At 36.4% G+C, this 19,446-nt stretch overlaps 1 long non-coding RNA gene across 1 annotated transcript in view; it reads left to right on the top strand.

Moving 5' to 3' along the window:
• The window catches only part of LOC105375631 (LINE-1 retrotransposable element ORF2 protein-like), a 30,905-nt gene extending 11,459 nt beyond the window's left edge, over window positions 1-19,446 (top strand). The window contains exon 2 of the long non-coding RNA XR_002956667.2: window positions 1-19,446. This exon is cut by the window's left edge and continues 9,373 nt beyond it. This is a non-coding gene — a long non-coding RNA (LINE-1 retrotransposable element ORF2 protein-like).

Below are 19,446 nucleotides of genomic sequence, written 5' to 3'. Positions count from 1 at the left end.
CCTGCATGGTTCATTAATTGTTTCTTGTTCACATCTTGTTCTTCTACTTTTTGTAAAGTTTTCAGGGTTTTGATCCTATGTGACAGGTATTTTATGCCACCCAGGATTTTAATATATCATGGTAGGGTCTGGACAAGCACTTGTTGATGTAGTGCTTACCCAGCTCTGAGACGCTGAGGAACTGGATAGTTAGATTGTAGGGAAAGGTTTTCCTCTAGTTGGTACTCTTCCCACTGGATCTGGGAGCTCTGCCACAGTGTCAAATAACACAAAACCTTTGGGGTGTTTGGCTATTGGGTAGGATTTTAAAAGTACCTTTTCTTAAAATTCTTAATGTAAAATTATTTGAAATTTACCTATTCAAGACTTAGGATAAAGTGGACAACTACACAGAATGGTCTCTGCTTTTAGAAGTGATATGGACTGTATTAGTTAAGGTTCTTCAGAGACACAGAACCAATAGACAATACATAGATATATAAAAGAAGATTTATTACAAGAGTTGCCTCGGCTGGGTGCAGTGGCTTATACCTGTAATCCTAGCACTTTGGGAGGCTGAGGCAGGCAGATCACCTGAGGGCAAGAGATCAAGACCAGCCTTGCCAACATGGTGAAACCCTGCCTTTACTAAAAACACAGAAATTTGATGGGCTTGGGGGTGCATGCCTGTAATCCTAGCTACTTGGGAGGCTGAGGCAGGAGAATTGCTGGAACCCGCTGCAGTGAGCCGAGATCACCCCACTGCCCTCCAGTCTGGGTGACAGAGCGAGATTTCATCTCAAAAAAAAAAAAAAAAGTTGGCTCATGTGAATATGGAGGCTGAGAAATCCCATGATACACTGTTTGCAAGCATTCCTTGAGAACAAGGAAAGCCAGTGGTGTGATTCATTTCAAGTCTGTAGTAAGCCTGAGAACTAAAGGAGCCAATGTGTAACTCTCAGTCAGAAACCAAATGCTTATGGGCAGAAGAAGATGACTGTCCCAGCTCAAGAAGAGAGACAGAGAATTTGCCCTTACTTGGACTTCTCGCTCTCACCTGGCCCTCAATGGATTGGAAGACGGTCATTTACATTGGTGGGCATGGGTCTTCTTTACTCAGTCTACCTATTCAAATGATAATCTCTTCTGGAAACATCCTCACAGACACATCCAGAAATAATGTTTTTCTAGTTATGTGAGCATCCCTTAGCCCAGTGAAGTTGACACATAAAATTAGCCAACACAGAGACAAGTGAACAAAAGGTGACCATTTGTGACAGGGAGATAGCGGGTGCCTCCCTGGAGGGTAAGAGAGTCCTCTCTGCTTCTCGTCCCAGTACTTCCTTCCTTCTGCCTTTTCTTTCCAGTCTGACCAGCCTAGCTCCCAATAGGAGAGAATGGAGGAGAATAGGCCAGGAAATAAAAAATATGGGATTAGCCTGAAAATGAAGACAGCGGGTGAACTGGAAGAGGTAATCTGAGATGATTTCTGGTTGCTCTGAAGGGGAATTAGAGCTCTAATAGGACAGGGAAAGGCACTTCCTTGTTTCACTTCATCTCAAGCCCTAAAAATCAAAACTCCCTGGAAACATGAAAACCAGTAGATTCAACGTGTAATCATTCTCACAGAAGAGTCAGTGCATACCTCCTATCTTTTTTATAGGTTGCTTTTTTCTTTTCAATATCTGGTTTGATTGAGCCTTCCCTACTTTGCTGCCACTTCCCAAATTGGCCTCTTTGGATTGGTATAGATTCTCTGACAAGGTGTTTATTTATGGCTACATAGATTTTCTGTCTCTTGCCCCTCTGGGTGTGCAGTTGTGTTTTATTTTCCCTTTTTCTTCTTTTGTTTGCTTGCTTGTTTCACTCCTTGATATTTCCTCATAAAGAAAAAAAATGTTTTCTCTTTTGCTAGCTTACTTTTTTCCCCCAAACATTTCGGAGCAACTTTTTTTTTCAATATTTTACCTCTCATATGTTTACCCTCTGTGATAAAATACACTGCCTGCATGGGGAAATTCCTATATGCAAAGTAAACAGTTGTCTTTATTTTTAAGTCATGAAAATAATCAACGTGTTTTAGAATTCTGTTACAATATACCTCACTTACCAAATTTGGTAAGAAACAAATGTGTGCTTATTTTGGGGTATTTCCAATTTTAGATGTAACACTTTATGTTGAGGAATATTAGTAAGTTAAAGTTTCAGATGTCTCATGCAACAGAGGCTTAATAATAAGCATAAAGAGAGATATTATTTAAATAAAACTGGAGTGAATTGAGATGGAAAGAGCAGGTTTTTTTTTTTTTTTTTTTTTTTTTTTTTTTGTCCCTGTCCAATACCCCCTTCTCCGGCAGGTTTTTTTTTTGTCCCTGTCCAATACCCCCTTCTCCAGCAGGTATCTTTCATTATTTCTCAAGGCACAATAGCTATGGATGACTAGAATTTCTGTAATTGTTCTTCTCTTATTTCTTTTATTCTTATAGTTTCCAACTAATTGCCTTATAACAGTTGTTTCCAAACATGGAAATCCTGATTTACTTGATCTTCTAGGCAAACAAACAAACAAACAAACAAAAAAGTCTAGTTCTTGGATAACTGACTCATTAACAATGAACAGTGTCTCAAGTCAGCCCTCTCAACCTCCCATCTTCACAGCTGTGTCCTTGCTGTTAAGCCAGGCTTATTGCCCAAAATAGGAATTGTCTGTTTGCCAATAAATAAATAACTGTGGTATTAACAAGTATGCTATAAACTCTAATGCAATGGTCTATGAACTGGAGTTTGAGAACCAGTGCTTTAGGTGAATTTTTAAAAACTTTTCTCATAGAGACCTTTCCTCACTGATATATAGAATTTAGCTAGCAGGGTCTTCATCAGCCAATGCTGAATGCATTAGAGCTTTTAACTTAGAAAATGGAGGAAAAATATTCCAGAATAAGATAATATAAGAAACCTTTTACTTGGGCCGTCTTGTCATGAGAATGCCATGGTGGTGGGTGTGGGCATAGCTTGAAGGGGGATATAGAAGAAATTAGAGTCTTACAGAACTGTGGCTTATAATTGTGGAAGTTTTCCTCTTTGAGTTCAGCTCTGACTGAGACATTGCCTAACTCCCAAGGCATGCTGACTTCCACATAGTCAATGACATTGTGTGGGTGTGTGATTTTGAAAGCTAGTGTTTTCCTCAGTATCTACAAAGATGATGGCTACTAAAACAGAAAAAGTGACCTAGAATAAAGAACATCGCAGATAGCATGTAGGGCCATCATAGGGGCCCTCTAAATTTGGAGATAAAAATCAGTGACTGATAATAAAAATGGAAAAATGACAAAGATATGATCTCTGTACAAAAGAATAATTTTTAAGTGTATTGCTTAGGAGACTAGAATAGTCTGATGCTATCTAGGATTTATTCTCAGGACCGGGACACAATGAAGAGGGAAGTACCAAAATCACTTGTGCTATATGATTATATAAGGCTGTGTTAAATGGAGCATTGTTCTTACGTGGAGCATAGGAAAATTTGAATCTTGAAGTATACAAATATTTCTCTTTGTCCCTGTCATATGCAGGGGTATGGTTCCTAAAAAGACAGCATGGTGAGTCCAGTGGCTTCCTTGTCAATTTTACCCCATGGTAGAGATGGGTACATTAGGCTATCAGAGCTTAATAGCTCCATACAATAGAAAATTCCCAGATAACTCAATTTTCTCTGATTCAGGGTCTACCAAATGACCTACTTAAAGTAATTGTCATTCCACTTACATTTTCTGATAGGAGATGAAAGGTTCTGATCAGATGAAAAGGATCATTTGGCCCACTTGGCTGTTATCATCACAAGTATTGAGAAATAACTTTCTACTCAAGTTTATCAGTCTTTTGTGACTTTTGGTTATCGTGAATTAGTCTTCAGTTGCACTGAAAACAAACAAACAAACAAACAAACAAAAAAACCAAAATGTTGCTGAACCAAAAAACAGAACCATGTCTTGACGTTTGCTGAAACTCTTAAGGTATGCTCCCTGTCGGTTTTTGTCCTGAACAGTTGAGAAGCCTAGACTTTTGATTTGAGAGTGCATCCTGGGTTTGCTATAATCTAATAATAATTATATTACTGATGCAAATAATAATAATACCAATAAATATTATCTTACAACTACCTCACACTTAAAACTGATCAATCCTGGACTGAGTGCCTTGTACACATTTTCTTACTTAGTCCTCATGAGACTCTATGAACTAGACACTGTAGAAATCCAATATTCAGATGAGGAAAGGGAAGCTTAGTGAGATTAAGTAACTTGCCTTAATGCCATATAGCTAGAGAGTGATGGAACTCTGACTTGCTTATTTCACCTAGAAAAAGTTATATCAACTTAACTAAAAATCTAAAACTTAGTACTCAGCATCAATTTATCTATAATGCTCATGGATTTTCCCAACTTTGTGTTAGTTTAGTCCTCAGGCTGGCTTCTATCACAACAGTAAAATAATTGTCAGGAGCTTCAAGGGGCTACAAGTCTGGGTCACTTCCAATGAGAATGGAGACTCTCTTCCGGGAGTTCTTTTAGACTAGTGAAGAAGCTTCTTTTCCAGATATCCTCAGCAAATGTCTCATTGCCCCCAGTTGAGTGATGTGTCAAGGCCTGAATACATTTCTATAACCACGGAGATTAACTCAATCAGGGTTAAGCCAGAGGTACAGTTAGCATCTCTTAAGCCACAAGAATTCTAGCTACATGCTAGAAAGACAACAATAGTTATATACCACACACATTTATAGGTATAAAATCTTGTTTCAACAGTGTTATTTAATGAATATTTAGGCTGGAGTCCTTCCCTCAATAGAACAATGTAATTTATGAAAAAATCAATTATTTAAAGAAGGACATTTTATGAGGTTGAATAGCATCCTCCCTTTTCTCCCCAAATTTATGTCCACTCAGAACCTGAGAATGTAACATTATTTGGAAATAGAGTCTTGGCAGATGTAATTAGTTAAGATGAGGCCATTCTGGGTTAGGGTGGCTCCAAATCCAATGAGTGGTGCCCTTGTAAGCAGGCCATGTGAACACACAGATACACAGAGAAACACAGAGGGAAGAAGGCTTGTGAAGATGGTGGCAGAGATTGGACTTATACTGCCTCAAGCCAAGGAACATCAGAAGCCACCAGAATCTTGAAGAGGCAAGGAATAATCTTCCCCTGAAGACTTAGATGAGAGCATGACCCTGTCAGAACTTGATTTTTGTAACCTTCAAAGCTACAAAGAATACATTTCTATTTTTTATAGTCCACCCAGTTTGTGGTACTTTGTTATAACAGCTCTAGGAACCTAATACAGATACCATGGACAGATCTATCTGACAGATATGCAATGGGAGAATATATCTGAAGTTTAAAACTGACAAACACAACAAATCAATAAGAAAAAACTAAATAAGCAAAAAAAATGGATAAAAGATTTAAAACAGGCAATTTATATAAAATGAAACTAAATCAAATACCTGGAGATGCTCAAAATAATTATCAATCAGAAGTGCAAGTTAAAATATCACTTTTCACTGATTAGCCTAGCCATAATTTAAAAAGATAGATGTGTCAACTCTTGATTGATATTTGAGGATACAAGAACCCATATGTCTTGTGGAGGGAGTGTAGACTGAGCCAGCCATTCAGAGAGCAATGTGGCAATCTTCACTGAAATTAAGTATATGCATACACTTTGACCTATCGATTCTGCCACCGAATGTATAAGCCAAAGAAGTTCTTACATAAGATCATAAGGGGACATCTGTGAATGGAAATGTTATTGCAATATTATTGTTGTTGGTCAGAGTTGGAAGCAACCTGGGTGTCTATCATGGAGAGAGTAGATAGGTGCTATGGACTGAATGTTTGTGTCCCTCCAAAATTTATGTCTTAAAATCTTAACCAGCAATATGGTGGTATTAGAAGGTGGGGCTTTTGTGAGATAATTAGGTCAGGAGGGTACTAGTGACTTCATTAAGCAGACTTCAGAGAGCTTTCTGGCTCACCTTCCACCATATAAAAACACAAAGAGAAATTGGAGGTCTGCAACATGAACGAGAACTTCACCAGAACCTAACCATGCTACCACCCTAATCTCTCACTTCCAGCTTCCAGACCTAGGAGAAATCAGTGTTTTTTGTTCAAGTCATCCAGTCTATGGTACTTTATTATAGTGACCTGGACTAACTAAAACAATGGATAAAGTGTGATGATTGTACATCATGGTAACTTACCATGTAGCAATTAGAAACAATGAATTAGAAACACAACAATGAATGGATATTAAAAAGATGCCTGTGAAAAAGAAAGGAACATAATGAAATATATCACACAGTATTACTTATTTAATTAATAATAGCTTTCCACTAATCAGAGCACATTTTACAAGAACACATAAAAAAGGATTCACTAAACACAACAGAATGATCACCTATTAAAATGGTGGGTATAGCTAAGAAGGAAATAAGAAAAGGCCTTACATGGATCAATAGTAATGTATAATAAAATAAGAAGCAAGATTTACTTAACTCTATTTACTTAAGATATAAAAACACAAAGTTCACTTTATAAAAATTGGTCACCAAATTATAATTGACTTTTGAATAGCATGGAGAATAGGGGCACTGACACCTCGAGCAGTTGCAAATCCATGTATAAATTGACACCCACCAAACTTAACTACCAATTGCCTACTGTTGACTTGAAGCCTTACCAGTACCATAAAGAGTTAACACACAATTTTGTGTGATATATGTATTATGTACTGTATTCATACAGTAAAACAAGGTAGAAAAAGGAAAATGTTATTAAGAAAATTACAAGGAACAGAACGTATTTTACTATTCATTTAGTGGAAGTGAATAATCATAAAGGTCTTCATTGTCATTGTCTTCGTGTTGAGTAGGCTGAGGAGGAAGCAGAGGAGGGTTGGTCTGGCTGTCTCAGGGGTAGCAGAGGCAGAATAAAATCTGCATATAAATGGACCCACAGAGTTCAAACCTTTGGTGTTCAAGGATCAACTCTACTAGGCATTTTTATTTTTATTTTATTGCCATTGTTCATTTTTTTTGAAAAGATATTTAGAACTGAGCTCAGTGTATAATAAAAAGCAATGCACATTTTTACCTTATTCCAGGGTTCAAATATCGTTTTTGGTTTTCCCTTTTCTCTGTTGTTCTCAGTCTCCTTTACTTTTCATCTTCTGTCACCCCTACTTCTTAAATGTTAATATTCCTCAGGATTCCATTCTTGGTCCTTATTTCTTTGTTCTACAAATATTTCCTGGGAATTTGAGTCGTGTCTATGACATCTATCTACCTCTAGCTTCCATCTTTCCCAGGATTACTGATCTGCAATATCTCTTATGTACTCTAATCTCAGCAGGTGTGATATTGAACCCATTTTCTCTTTGTCTTTGCCCCACAAATGTGGTCTTTTAAAATGATATTATCTCAATATCTCAAGCTAATTTGAAAAACGTCTTAGAGTTGCCTCTTTTTCGCACTCCATATATCAAATCCTATTTATTGTACTTCAGAAATACCACTAAACCCAGCTTCTCTTAGTATCTTTATAGCCACAGAAGGTCACTGAAAGGCTTTAAGCACAAAAGTGGTACAGGTAGAATTGTTTCAAGAATGATTACTATGCTTGCAGCAAGAGGAATCTGTTGAAAAGTTGGAAGTACAGAGACAGGCTGGGAGTTATTAATGAAATCCAGGAAAGAGACTATGGATGCTTGAACTAAGGTGATGGCAGTGGAGACACAGGAAAATTAATTCATTTCATAGATAAGTTAGTAATGGACTTGATATGAGTGGTGCTGAAGCTAGGAAGAGCTGTGAAGGGTGAGTCTCAAGTTTCTGTCATAGCAACTGGGAGATTATTGTGCAATTTTCTAAAGAGAATCGGGAAGGAGTAATGGTTGCTTGAGGGAAAGATTGTATGCCTGCAGTCATGGATATGTTATATTGAAGGAATTTTGGCATAAAACTAAAAGTGTTTATAAATAAATTGTATAAATAGATCCAATTAGAAGAACTGAGGTCCAGGCTATTGATGCAAATTTGAAAGTGGTTAGAGTATTGACGCAATTGATGCCATGGGGGATGGAGCACCCATGAAGAAAGTGGAGTGTAGGGCACAGTTCTGAACAACACTTGCATTTAATGATTGGTAGAGGAGAAGTCATTCGCAAAAGAGACAGTGAATGAAATACATTACAGAGCAAAGCCAGAGGAAAGAGAGGAAATAGTGCTTCAAGTCTGCAAGCATGTCCAGGAATGTCAAATGTTGTTGAAGGGTAGCAGGATGAGTGCTGAAATGAGGTCCATGGGATTTGCCACTTATGGGTCACTTGAGTGAAGCTGGATGGATAGAATTTGGGTATAGGACTGAGAGGGAGGTGAGATAATGGTGGCAGCAAGTGTAGACAACATTCAGGAAGTTTGGATAAGGAAAGGGGGGAATATATATAAAAGGTAGTTGGAAGGTTATGTAGGATCCAAGGAGTGTTTTTGTTTCATTTTGTTTTGTTTTAAAGATGTGAAGCGAGCTGTTTAAAATGCTTATGGGTAGAATAACCTAGGGACTTTTTTTTTTTAATCTAAGAATTTGATTGCTACTTACGTTTCCATGTAGTATGATAATAATACACTTACAAGTAAAACTCTGCCAGTAGATGTTGATTCCCTTGAAAGGAGGGATGATGTCTTCTTTGCTTTTTGTTATTCTCATTGCTTAGCACCAATTCATACCCATTATATACAGTCAATAAATATTATTAAAAAATAATCCTTGAGTCTAACCAGTTCCAATTAGTGATCAGCTCATCACTTTTCCAATGAGCCTCTAATGTGAATGAAAACAAGTGAGACACACTGGTAATTATTACATTAAATTAACTGATATCACAGTTGTTAGTTTAAAATAAAGCATACTTCTTTTAAGGTATTAGTTTCTTCGAATGTGAGAGAACCTTTTCATTATACCGGTAGAGTTCCTTCTTTTACCTGTGAAAATAAGTAAACTAAAAAAAAAAAAAAAAAAAAAAAATCTAACAATGGGAACTGTAGGCTGGTAAAAAAAGAATGAGAGAGAGACAGAGAGTAGGAATTTAAAAACCTGAACAAAAATTAAACAGTTAAAGAATAAGAAAAAAGAAAAACATATATCTCTTTGTCTGGAAAGAGATTCCTTAAAAATAGCCATCAACAATATTTAAAAGATAATTATTCTTCATAGAGTCATTTTATAAAATGTTAATTACTTCTTTCCAGCTATCTTTGTGACTTACTATCTTAGTTATACATCTTCCTTGTTATGTTTTTCTCTCCGTTTAACCATTTTTTTGTATCTTATGTAAACATTCTAAAATATTATATGCCTCTTTTATAATTTGATTGCATTTTTTATGTAGTGACTGCTTCATGATATTTAAAGGTTACTATGTGATTTAAACAAGACAAATGTTTCCTAGCTTCTGCTGATTGCCATTTTGAGTTTAACTTAGTCATTAACATGCAATTAACTTAAAAACTTTTATCACTATTATTGCTCAGTGCAATGCTGTAACATGCTGGGCATCTTCCTTATTTAAAAACAATCATTTCTGTGTTCTCTTAAGAATGAAATATAGTCTTTGTAATTTAACCAGATGTGAAATGACATTTCCTCCCTTCCTAAAAACTTTCTGATTCTTGCAAATGAACTCTTCATTACTCAGGTAATTTCTTACAATCTTGACTTTAAGAAATTAAAGTTAGTTTTACTGAATTATTCTAAGTACCACAATTTCAGCATGCAGAATTTACAAGTATTACAAAATGGTCAAACAGCTTAAAATGCTTTTCTTTAAGAATTTCCACCTATATTGATTTTTTGTACCTTGTGAGTATGATATTCAAATATGAAATATGTCTTTTTTCCTTTTGTTGACCATTTAAAATTCTGTTTTCCTCTGTAATGTTTTGGAGCCTGGTTCTGAAAGATGGCATTTCCTTGTGAGGTACAAAGGATGCATTAGCTCTTTGGCTCTATTTCTAACTGCTTTTCCTTCTGGGTCTTAAAAAAGACATTTAAAAAGTTTCTCATAACATTTATTTGAAATATAAATCATAATTATTTCAGCTTGTAGTTAACATGTAGTAATAACTGATAGATTGCAGTCTGAATTGTGTTAATAAATTTCATTTTTCCTGAGAAATTTCCTAAGAACAGCTTTTATTCCTAAATTATATATGTATAGAATTGTAATAATATATATTAAATATATATTGTGGCAATAAAATGAAATGCATAGTAAAATTCTTATTGCCTCGACTGAATCATTTGTCCAACAAATACTTATTAAACATTTACTATTTGCCAGGCATTCTACATGCTGATGAAATGGTGGTGAACAATATAGATATAGACAGATATTCTACCCTCTTCGAGACTTTGCTGTTAGTGAAGAGAGTAAGACAATAAATAGGTGAAAAAAAGGAAATGTAATTTCAAATAGTAATTGGTGAAGAATTTATCGATTTCTTCTAGATTTTCTAGTTTATTTGCATAGAGATGTTTGTAGTAATCTCTGATGGTAGTTTGTATTTCTGTGGGACCGGTGGTGATATCCCCTTTATCATTTTTTATTGCGTCTATTTGATTCTTCTCTCTTTTTTTCTTTATTCGTCTTGCCAGTGGTCTATCAATTTTGTTGATCCTTTCAAAAAATCAGCTCCTGGATTCATTAATTTTTTGAAGGGTTTTTTGTGTCTCTATTTCCTTCAGTTCTGCTCTGATTTTAGTTATTTCTTGCCTTCTGCTAGCTTTTGAGTGTGTTTGCTCTTGGTTTTCTAGTTCTTTTAATTGTGATGTTAGGGTGTCAGTTTTGGATCTTTCCTGCTTTCTCTTGTGGGCATTTAGTGCTATAAATTTCCCTCTACACACTGCTTTGAATGAGTCCCAGAGATTCTGGTATGTTGTGTCTTTGTTCTCGTTGGTTTCAAAGAACATCTTTATTTCTGCCTTCATTTCGTTATGTATCCAGTAGTCATTCAGGAGCAGGTTGTTCAGTTTCCATGTAGTTGAGCAGTTTTGAGTGAGTTTCTTAATCCTGAGTTCTAGTTTGATTGCACTGTGGTCTGAGAGACAGTTTGTTATAATTTCTGTTCTTTTACATTTGCTGAGGAGAGCTTTACTTCCAAGTATGTGGTCAATTTTGGAATAGGTGTGGTGTGGTGCTGAAAAAAATGTATATTCTGTTGATTTGGGGTGGAGAGTTCTGTAGATGTCTATTAGGTCTGCTTGGTGCAGAGCTGAGTTCAATTCCTGGGTATCCATGTTAACTTTGTGTCTCGTTGATCTGTCTAATGTTGACAGTGGGGTGTTAAAGTCTCCCATTATTAATGTGTGGGAGTCTAAGTCTCTTTGTAGGTCACTCAGGACTTGCTTTGTGAATCTGGGTGCTCCTGTATTGGGTGCATATATATTTAGGATAGTTAGCTCTTCTTGTTGAATTGATCCCTTTACCATTATGTAATGGCCTTCTTTGTCTCTTTTGATCTTTGTTGGTTTAAAGTCTGTTTTATCAGAGACTAGGATTGCAACCCCTGCCTTTTTTTGTTTTCCATTGGCTTGGTAGATCTTCCTCCATCCTTTTATTTTGAGCCTATGTGTGTCTCTGCATGTGAGATGGGTTTCCTGAATACAGCACACTGATGGGTCTTGACTCTTTATCCAATTTGCCAGTGTGTGTGTTTTAATTGGAGCATTTAGTCCATTTACATTTAAAGTTAATATTGTTATGTGTGAATTTGATCCTGTCATTATGATGTTAGCTGGTTATTTTGCTCGTTAGTTGATGCAGTTTCTTCCTAGTCTCGATGGTCTTTACATTTTGGCATGATTTTGCAGTGGCTCGTACAATTTGTGCCTTTCCATGTTGAGTGCTTCCTTCAGGAGCTCTTTTAGAGCAGGTCTGGTGGTGACAAAATCTCTCAGCATTTGCTTGTCTGTAAAGTATTTTATTTCTCCTTCACTTATGAAGCTTAGTTTGGCTGGATATGAAATTCTGGGATGAAAATTCTTTTCTTTAAGAATGTTGAATGTTGGCCCCAACTCTCTTCTGGCTTGTAGAGTTTCTGCCAAGAGATCCTCTGTTAGTCTGATGGGCTTCCCTTTGAGGGTAACCCGACCTTTCTCTCTGGCTGCCCTTAACATTTTTTCCTTCATTTCACCTTTGGTGAATCTGACAATTATGTGTCTTGGAGTTGCTCTTCTTGAGGAGTATCTTTGTGGCATTCTCTGTATTTCCTGAATCTGAATGTTGGCCTGCCTTGCTAGATTGGGGAAGTTCTCCTGGATTATATCCTGCAGAGTGTTTTCCAACTTGGTTCCATTCTCCCCGTCACTTTCAGGTACACCAATCAGACGTAGATTTGGTCTTTTCACATAGTCCCATATTTCTTGGAGGCTTTGCTCATTTCTTTTTATTCTTTTTTCTCTAAACTTCCCTTCTCGCTTCATTTCATTCATTTCATCTTCCATCGCTGATACCCTTTCTTCCAGTTGATCGCATCAGCTCCTGAGGCTTCTGCATTCTTCATGTAGTTCTCGAGCCTTGGCTTTCAGCTCCATCAGCTCAGGCCAGGGCAATTAGGCAGGAGAAGGAAATAAAGGGTATTCAATTAGGAAAAGAGGAAGTCAAATTGTCCCTGTTTGCAGATGACATGATTGTATATCTAAAAAACCCCATTGTCTCAACCCAAAATCTCCTTAAGCTGATAAGCAACTTCAGCAAAATCTCAGGATACAAAATCAGTGTACAAAAATCACAAGCATTCTTATACACCAATAACAGACAAACAGAATGGGAGTGAACTCCCATTCACAATTGCTTCAAAGAGAATAAAATACCTAGGAATCCACCTTACAAGGGATGTGAAGGACCTCTTCAAGGAGAACTACAAACCACTGCTCAATGAACTAAAAGAGGATACAAACAAATGGAAGAACATTCCATGCTCATGGGTAGGAAGAATGAATATCGTGAAAATGGCCATACTGCCCAAGGTAATTTATAGATTCAATGCCATCCCCATCAAGCTACCAATGACTTTCTTCACAGAATTGGAAAAAACTACTTTAAAGTTCATATGGAACCAAAAAAGAGCCCGCATCACCAAGCTAATCCTAAGCCAAAAGAACAAAGCTGGAGGCATCACACTACCTGACTTCAAACTATACTACAAGGCAACAGTAACCAAAACAGCATGGTACTGGTACCAAAACAGAGATCTAGATCAATGGAACAGAACGGAGCCCTCAGAAATAATGCCGCATATCTACAACTATCTGATCTTTGACAAACCTGAGAAAAACAAGCAATGGGGAAAGGATTCCCTATTTAATAAATGGTGCTGGGAAAACTGGCTAGCCATATGTAGAAAGCTGAAACTGGATCCCTTCCTTACACCTTATACAAAAATCAATTCAAGATGGATTAAAGACTTAAATGTTAGACCTAAAGCCATAAAAACCCTAGAAGAAAACCTAGGCATTACCATTCAGGACATAGGCATGGGCAAGGACTTCAGGTCTAAAACACCAAAAGCAATGGCAACAAAAGACAAAATTGACAAAGGGGATCTAATTAAACTAAAGAGCTTCTGCACAGCAAAAGAAACTACCATCAGAGTGAACAGGCAACCTACAAAATGGGAGAAAATTTTCGCAACCTTCTCATCTGACAAAGGACTAATATCCAGAATCTACAATGAACTCAAACAAATTTACAAGAAAAAAACAAACAACCCCATCAAAAAGTGGGCGAAGGACATGAACAGACACTTCTCAAAGGAAGACATTTATGCAGCCGAAAAACACATGAAGAAATGCTCACCATCACTGGCCATCAGAGAAATGCAAATCAAAACCACAATGAGATATCATCTCACACCAGTTAGAATGGCGATCATTAAAAAGTCAGGAAACAACAGGTGCTGGAGAGGATGTGGAGAAATAGGAACACTTTTACACTGTTGGTGGGACTGTAAACTAGTTCAACCCCTGTGGAAGTCAGTGTGGCGATTCCTCAGGGATCTAGAACTAGAAATACCATTTGACCCAGCCATCCCATTACTGGGTATATACCCAAAGGACTATAAATCATGCTGCTATAAAGACACATGCACACGTATGTTTATTGCGGCACTATTCACAATAGCAAAGACTTGGAACCAACCCAAATGTCCAACAATGATAGACTGGATTAAGAAAATGTGGCACATATACACCATGGAATACTATGCAGCCATAAAAAATGATGAGTTCATGTCCTTTGTAGGGACATGGATGAAACTGGAAATCATCATTCTCAGTAAACTATTGCAAGAACAAAAAACCAAACACCGCATATTCTCACTCATAGTTGGGAATTGAACAATGAGAACATATGGACACAGGAAGGGGAACATCACACTCTGGGGACTGTTGTGGGGTGGGGGGAGAGGGGAGGGATAGCATTGGGAGAGATACCTAATGCTAGATGACGAGTTAGTGGGTGCAGCGCACCAGCATGGCACATGTATACATATGTAACTAACCTGCACATTGTGCGCATGTACCCTAAAACTTAAAGTATAATAAAAAAAAAAAACCAGTAATTGGTGAAGAAAGTAAAAAGGGTATATAACAGAACTTGCCTATTTGGGTGGGGAATGGTGTATACTACAATCAAGCAAGCTCTCTTCTGTAAAGAAGGGACTTTTAAAGTGAGACCTAATTAATGAAAAGCAAGCAGTCATGCAAAAAGCTGAGGAGGAGCATCCTACGAAGAGAAAACAGCACGTTCCAAGGCCAGCTTGACTGGATCCTGTTTGGTAGGAGGAATAAGGCCAGTGGTGTTGGCAAGACACAGAGTTAAATTAAGAATATTTTTTCTTCTTTTTTTTTTTTTTTTTTTTTTTGAGACGGAGTCTCGCTCTGTCGCCCAGGCTGGAGTGCAGTGGCGGGATCTCAGCTCACTGCAAGCTCCGCCTCCTGGGTTCACGCCATTCTCCTGCCTCAGCCTCCCAAGTAGCTGGGACTACAGGCGCCCGCCACTACGCCCGGCTAATTTTTTATATTTTTAGTAGAGACGGGGTTTCACCGTTTTAGCCGGGATGGTCTCGATCTCCTGACCTCGTGATCCACCCGCCTCGGCCTCCCAAAGTCCTGGGATTACAGGCGTGAGCCACCGTGCCCGGCCTATTTTTTCTTCTTAACTGAAATAAATCACAAATCAATTCCTCAACCAATGTGCAATTATTTATTTTAAACTCCCTATGCATTGAGTGAGTCCCTTGGGAGACAGAAAATAGTAAGTTTCTTTTAAAAATAATTTTCAAATATTTCAAATCTATAGAATGTACAGAAACTAATAATATAATTAATGTTCACCAGATTTAAGAGACATAACCTGTTCATATTTGACATTACTTCTTCAGATTCCTTTTCAGAAATAAAATGTTACAGATATACTTGAACTTTTTTGTATGCCCTTACACTATTCCCTTTCCTTTTAAGAGGTAATTACCATTGAGAAGTTTATATTTTTATAAACTATCCCTTCATAATTTTATAAACCTTTCTTTGTGGTAAGATATAGACATAGAGAAATGGCAAAACCCAAAAATATATGAATCATATTCCAAAGTGCCATTTAATCATCATTCAAGCAAAGAAAGAAGAATGTCAAGACAGAGAAGAACCCACCATATACTTCCTGAACATCATTCCCTCCTTTCACCCAGAAGTACATTATCCTGACTTTAATAATCCTTGCTTTCAAGCTTCTGTAAAGTATTCTCACCAGTAAGTTACCTTTTCCTGTTTCATGTAAATGTAATTGTATAGTTTGTAGAGATTTTGTCTGGCTTATTTTCTTCAACATATTTGTGAAATTCGTCTGTGTTGTTACATTACATGTCATTGCAGTTTGTTAATCTTCATTGCTGTAAATATTTGTTTGTATGCAATAACACTAACCTTTCTAATGTTGATTGACATTTGGATTTCTTTCAGTTTTTTGACTATTACAAAGAACACAGCTATACATATTCTTGTACATAACTCTTGGTTGCATAGGTGCTCTCATTATTGTTGGATATACACCTAGGAGTGAAATTGTTAATTTATAGGATATGTCTATCCTGAAATTTAGTAGAACCTTCTGAATTGTTCTACAAAGTGGTTGTGCACATTTATATTTCCACCAGCAGTGTAAGTAATTTTATTGTTCCATGTCCTTACCAACTCTTGATATTTCAGTTCTTTCAATTTCAGCCATTCTGGGGGGTGTTTTTTTTTTATCTCTCTCTGGTTTTAATTTGTATTTCTTTGGGACTAATGATCTTAAAGTCATTTTCATATGCTTATTGACTATTTGGACATCCTCTTTTGTAAAGTGTCTGATTGAGTCTTATTATTTTATTGTATTTATGTTATGTTATTTTATTATTTTTTGAGACAGGGTCTCACATTGTTACCCAGGGTAGAGTGCAGTCATGCAATTATTGCTCACTGTAACCTCAGATGCCTGGGCTTAAGTGATCCTCCTGCCTCAGCCTCCCAAGTGGCTAGGAGTACAGGTGTGCACCACCACACCTGACTAACTTTTTAATTTTTTGTAGAGACGGGGGTCTCACTATTTTGCGCAGGCTGGTCTTGAACTCCTGGCCTCGAGTATCCTCGTGCTTTAGCCTCCCAAAGTGCTGAGTTTGTAGGCAGGAGCCACCATGCTTGGTCTGTTTTCTTATTGATGTGTAGGATTCTTCACATTTTGTAGAAAAATTTTAGGTTACTAGATATTGAAACTATTTCCTTCTACTCTGTAGCTTGTCATTTTACTCTCTTAATGGCATCTTTTGATGTTGCCCAAATTATCAGTCTTTCCCTTTATGATTAGTACTTTCATGTTCTGTTTAAGAAGAGTTTTCTTATTCCCAAATTATGAAGATATGCTCCTATGTTATCTTCTATACATTTTTATTGCTCTGTCTTTCACATATAGAACTATAATCCACCTGGAATTGATTTTATAAAATGTTTATTTTTGTGAACAGTGTAAGGTGGGTGTTACGTTTTACTTTTTTCCTTGTGTGGGTAGCCATTGTCGCAGCATTAGATATTGAAAAGACTTCCTTCACTGCTCTGCCTTTACCTGTATTGTAAATCAAATATCCTTATATATGTGTGTTAGTTTCTGTTCGTTCTGTCCCATTGGTCTGTGTATTCTTATGCCCATATCACATTATCTTATTGCAGCTCTATCATTTTTGATATTTGGCAAAGCAGATTCTCTCTTCTTGCTCTTCTTTTTTTAAGATTGTTGTGATTGTTCTCAGTGTATACACCCATACACCAGTACCTCTGCACACACAGATTTTAATTGAGAGACTGCTCTAAAATTATAGGCACATTTAGGGACATCTGATATCTATATAATAATTAATTTTGAAGTTCACAAACATGGTATATTCTTTGATTTATTTAAGCCCTCTTTAAAATTAAAGAATTTCTAAATGTGCCATTATTCTTTTAGAGTTTTCTAGATAGAGGTCTTTTGCCTCCTTTGTTAGAGCTATTCATTCCTAGGTATTTGATATTTTTGATGTTATTGGAAGTGTTCTTTTTTCAGTTCATTTTCTAACTGTTTGTTACTAATAAATAGAAATGTATTCGATGCTACATTGACCTTGTATTCACAAATCTTAGTACTCTTGTTTATTAATTGTAATAGTTTTTTAATATAATCTTTGGGATTATTGACAGATAATATCAGTATATCTTCTTCAGTTCTAATCTTTGAGTGGAGGTTGTCATATCAGATATCCTTGTATTATTTCTGACCTCAAAAAGGAAGTTTGTAACATTTTACTATTTTCATTAATATGAGTTTATCAGAGAAACATTTTCTGAGTTCTTATTTTTCTTCACACATCATTAATATACTTCCATTTTGAAAAACATTTTCACTGGATATAGATTTCTATGTTGGAAGGTATTTTCTTTTCTGTCATTTTCATTTGAACGTAGCATTCAATTGTCTTCTGGGCCCCATTGTTTTTATTGAAAAGTCCACTGTTATTCCTTTGAGGGAAACATTCTTTCCACCTTATCTCCTAGCTTTGGCTACTTAAGATTTCTACTTATGTTTTCAGCACTTATACTATTATGTTATTGGGTACAGGCTTTTTTTTTTTTTTTTCAATTGTGTGCTTGGGATTTATATGGCTTTTTTGATCTCTGGATTAAGGTCTTCAGTTTTGGAATCATTTATATTAAACAGTTCTCCTTTTTTTTCTTCTTTATCTCACTGACTCCAATTACATGTATTTTAGATCATATCACTGTTTTCTCTCTGTCTCAACTCCTATTCTTTATCTTCCTCTCTCTTTTCTTCATGCCTGATAACTCCAACAGCTGTAGTATAATTTGACCTGTTTTCACTACCTGTTTCTACTAGTTTTCATTCAGGCAGTTTTGTTCCCTTTGGTGCCTGGTTACTTTTTATTATATACTACTGTACTCAAAATTGTTTATAGATTTTATCTTTATTCAGAGAGAACTTGTGTTTGTACCTATAGGTGCCTTGGAGACACTAGCAATCATGGATCAACCTAAACAATTTCCAGAATTGACACAATTCAAGCAAAACTGCCGATTTCTACAAGGACCTGTGTACTTTTAGTTTATCTGTACTTTAAGGGTAAAGCACCTGGGGGATCCAGTCCAAACCTAGATAGATCCACCAGCTTTCCTGACCTGCTCTCTAATGGGGGATCCTTGGACCCCAATTTTTGTTTCACTAGCACAGCAAATCTGTTAAGAACAATCTTCTATAATCAGCAAATGCCCTTGACATAAAGAAGCTGAAATTCTGCTTTTTTTTTCCAGACCTCCTTCTTCTTTGGTTCTTGGTCCAGTAACTTTGTAATATTTTCTTATCGTCTCTATTACCATACACATATTTTAAAAATATTTTCTACAGTTTTTCCTGGTTTCCTCAGTGGGATAATTGGTTTGAGGAAGTTAAAGTTTGCTCTATTCACAGTTCATGCCACGTACCATATGCTTCAAAACTTGAATGTCTACTACTTACCAGAACCTAATCTGGAAATTTGGGTTATATCATTGAAAAACTAATTCTTTGTGATTGAAATTTTACAATCTGTTTAACTATTGAAATTATATATTTAAATCATTTGAAATATTACTAAGTGTTATGGATAAATAGAGGAAAATAAGGGAATTTGGGAATAGGCCACTACTTTCACAACTGTTCTTTGAATTTTATGAAAATCCTGGAATATAGGTGAGCATTTGTAGATAGAAACTGATTATCAGAGATCATAAATACTTTAACTAAAGTGACAGATTTAGTGGCTAGTTAGGAATTGGCAGGAA

This window comes from Homo sapiens, chromosome 8, assembly GCF_000001405.40.
Source record: "Homo sapiens chromosome 8, GRCh38.p14 Primary Assembly".
NCBI lineage: Eukaryota > Metazoa > Chordata > Mammalia > Primates > Hominidae > Homo > Homo sapiens.
The sequence above is the reverse complement of the archived record's forward strand: the minus strand, read 5'-3'. Positions and strand labels throughout refer to the sequence as shown.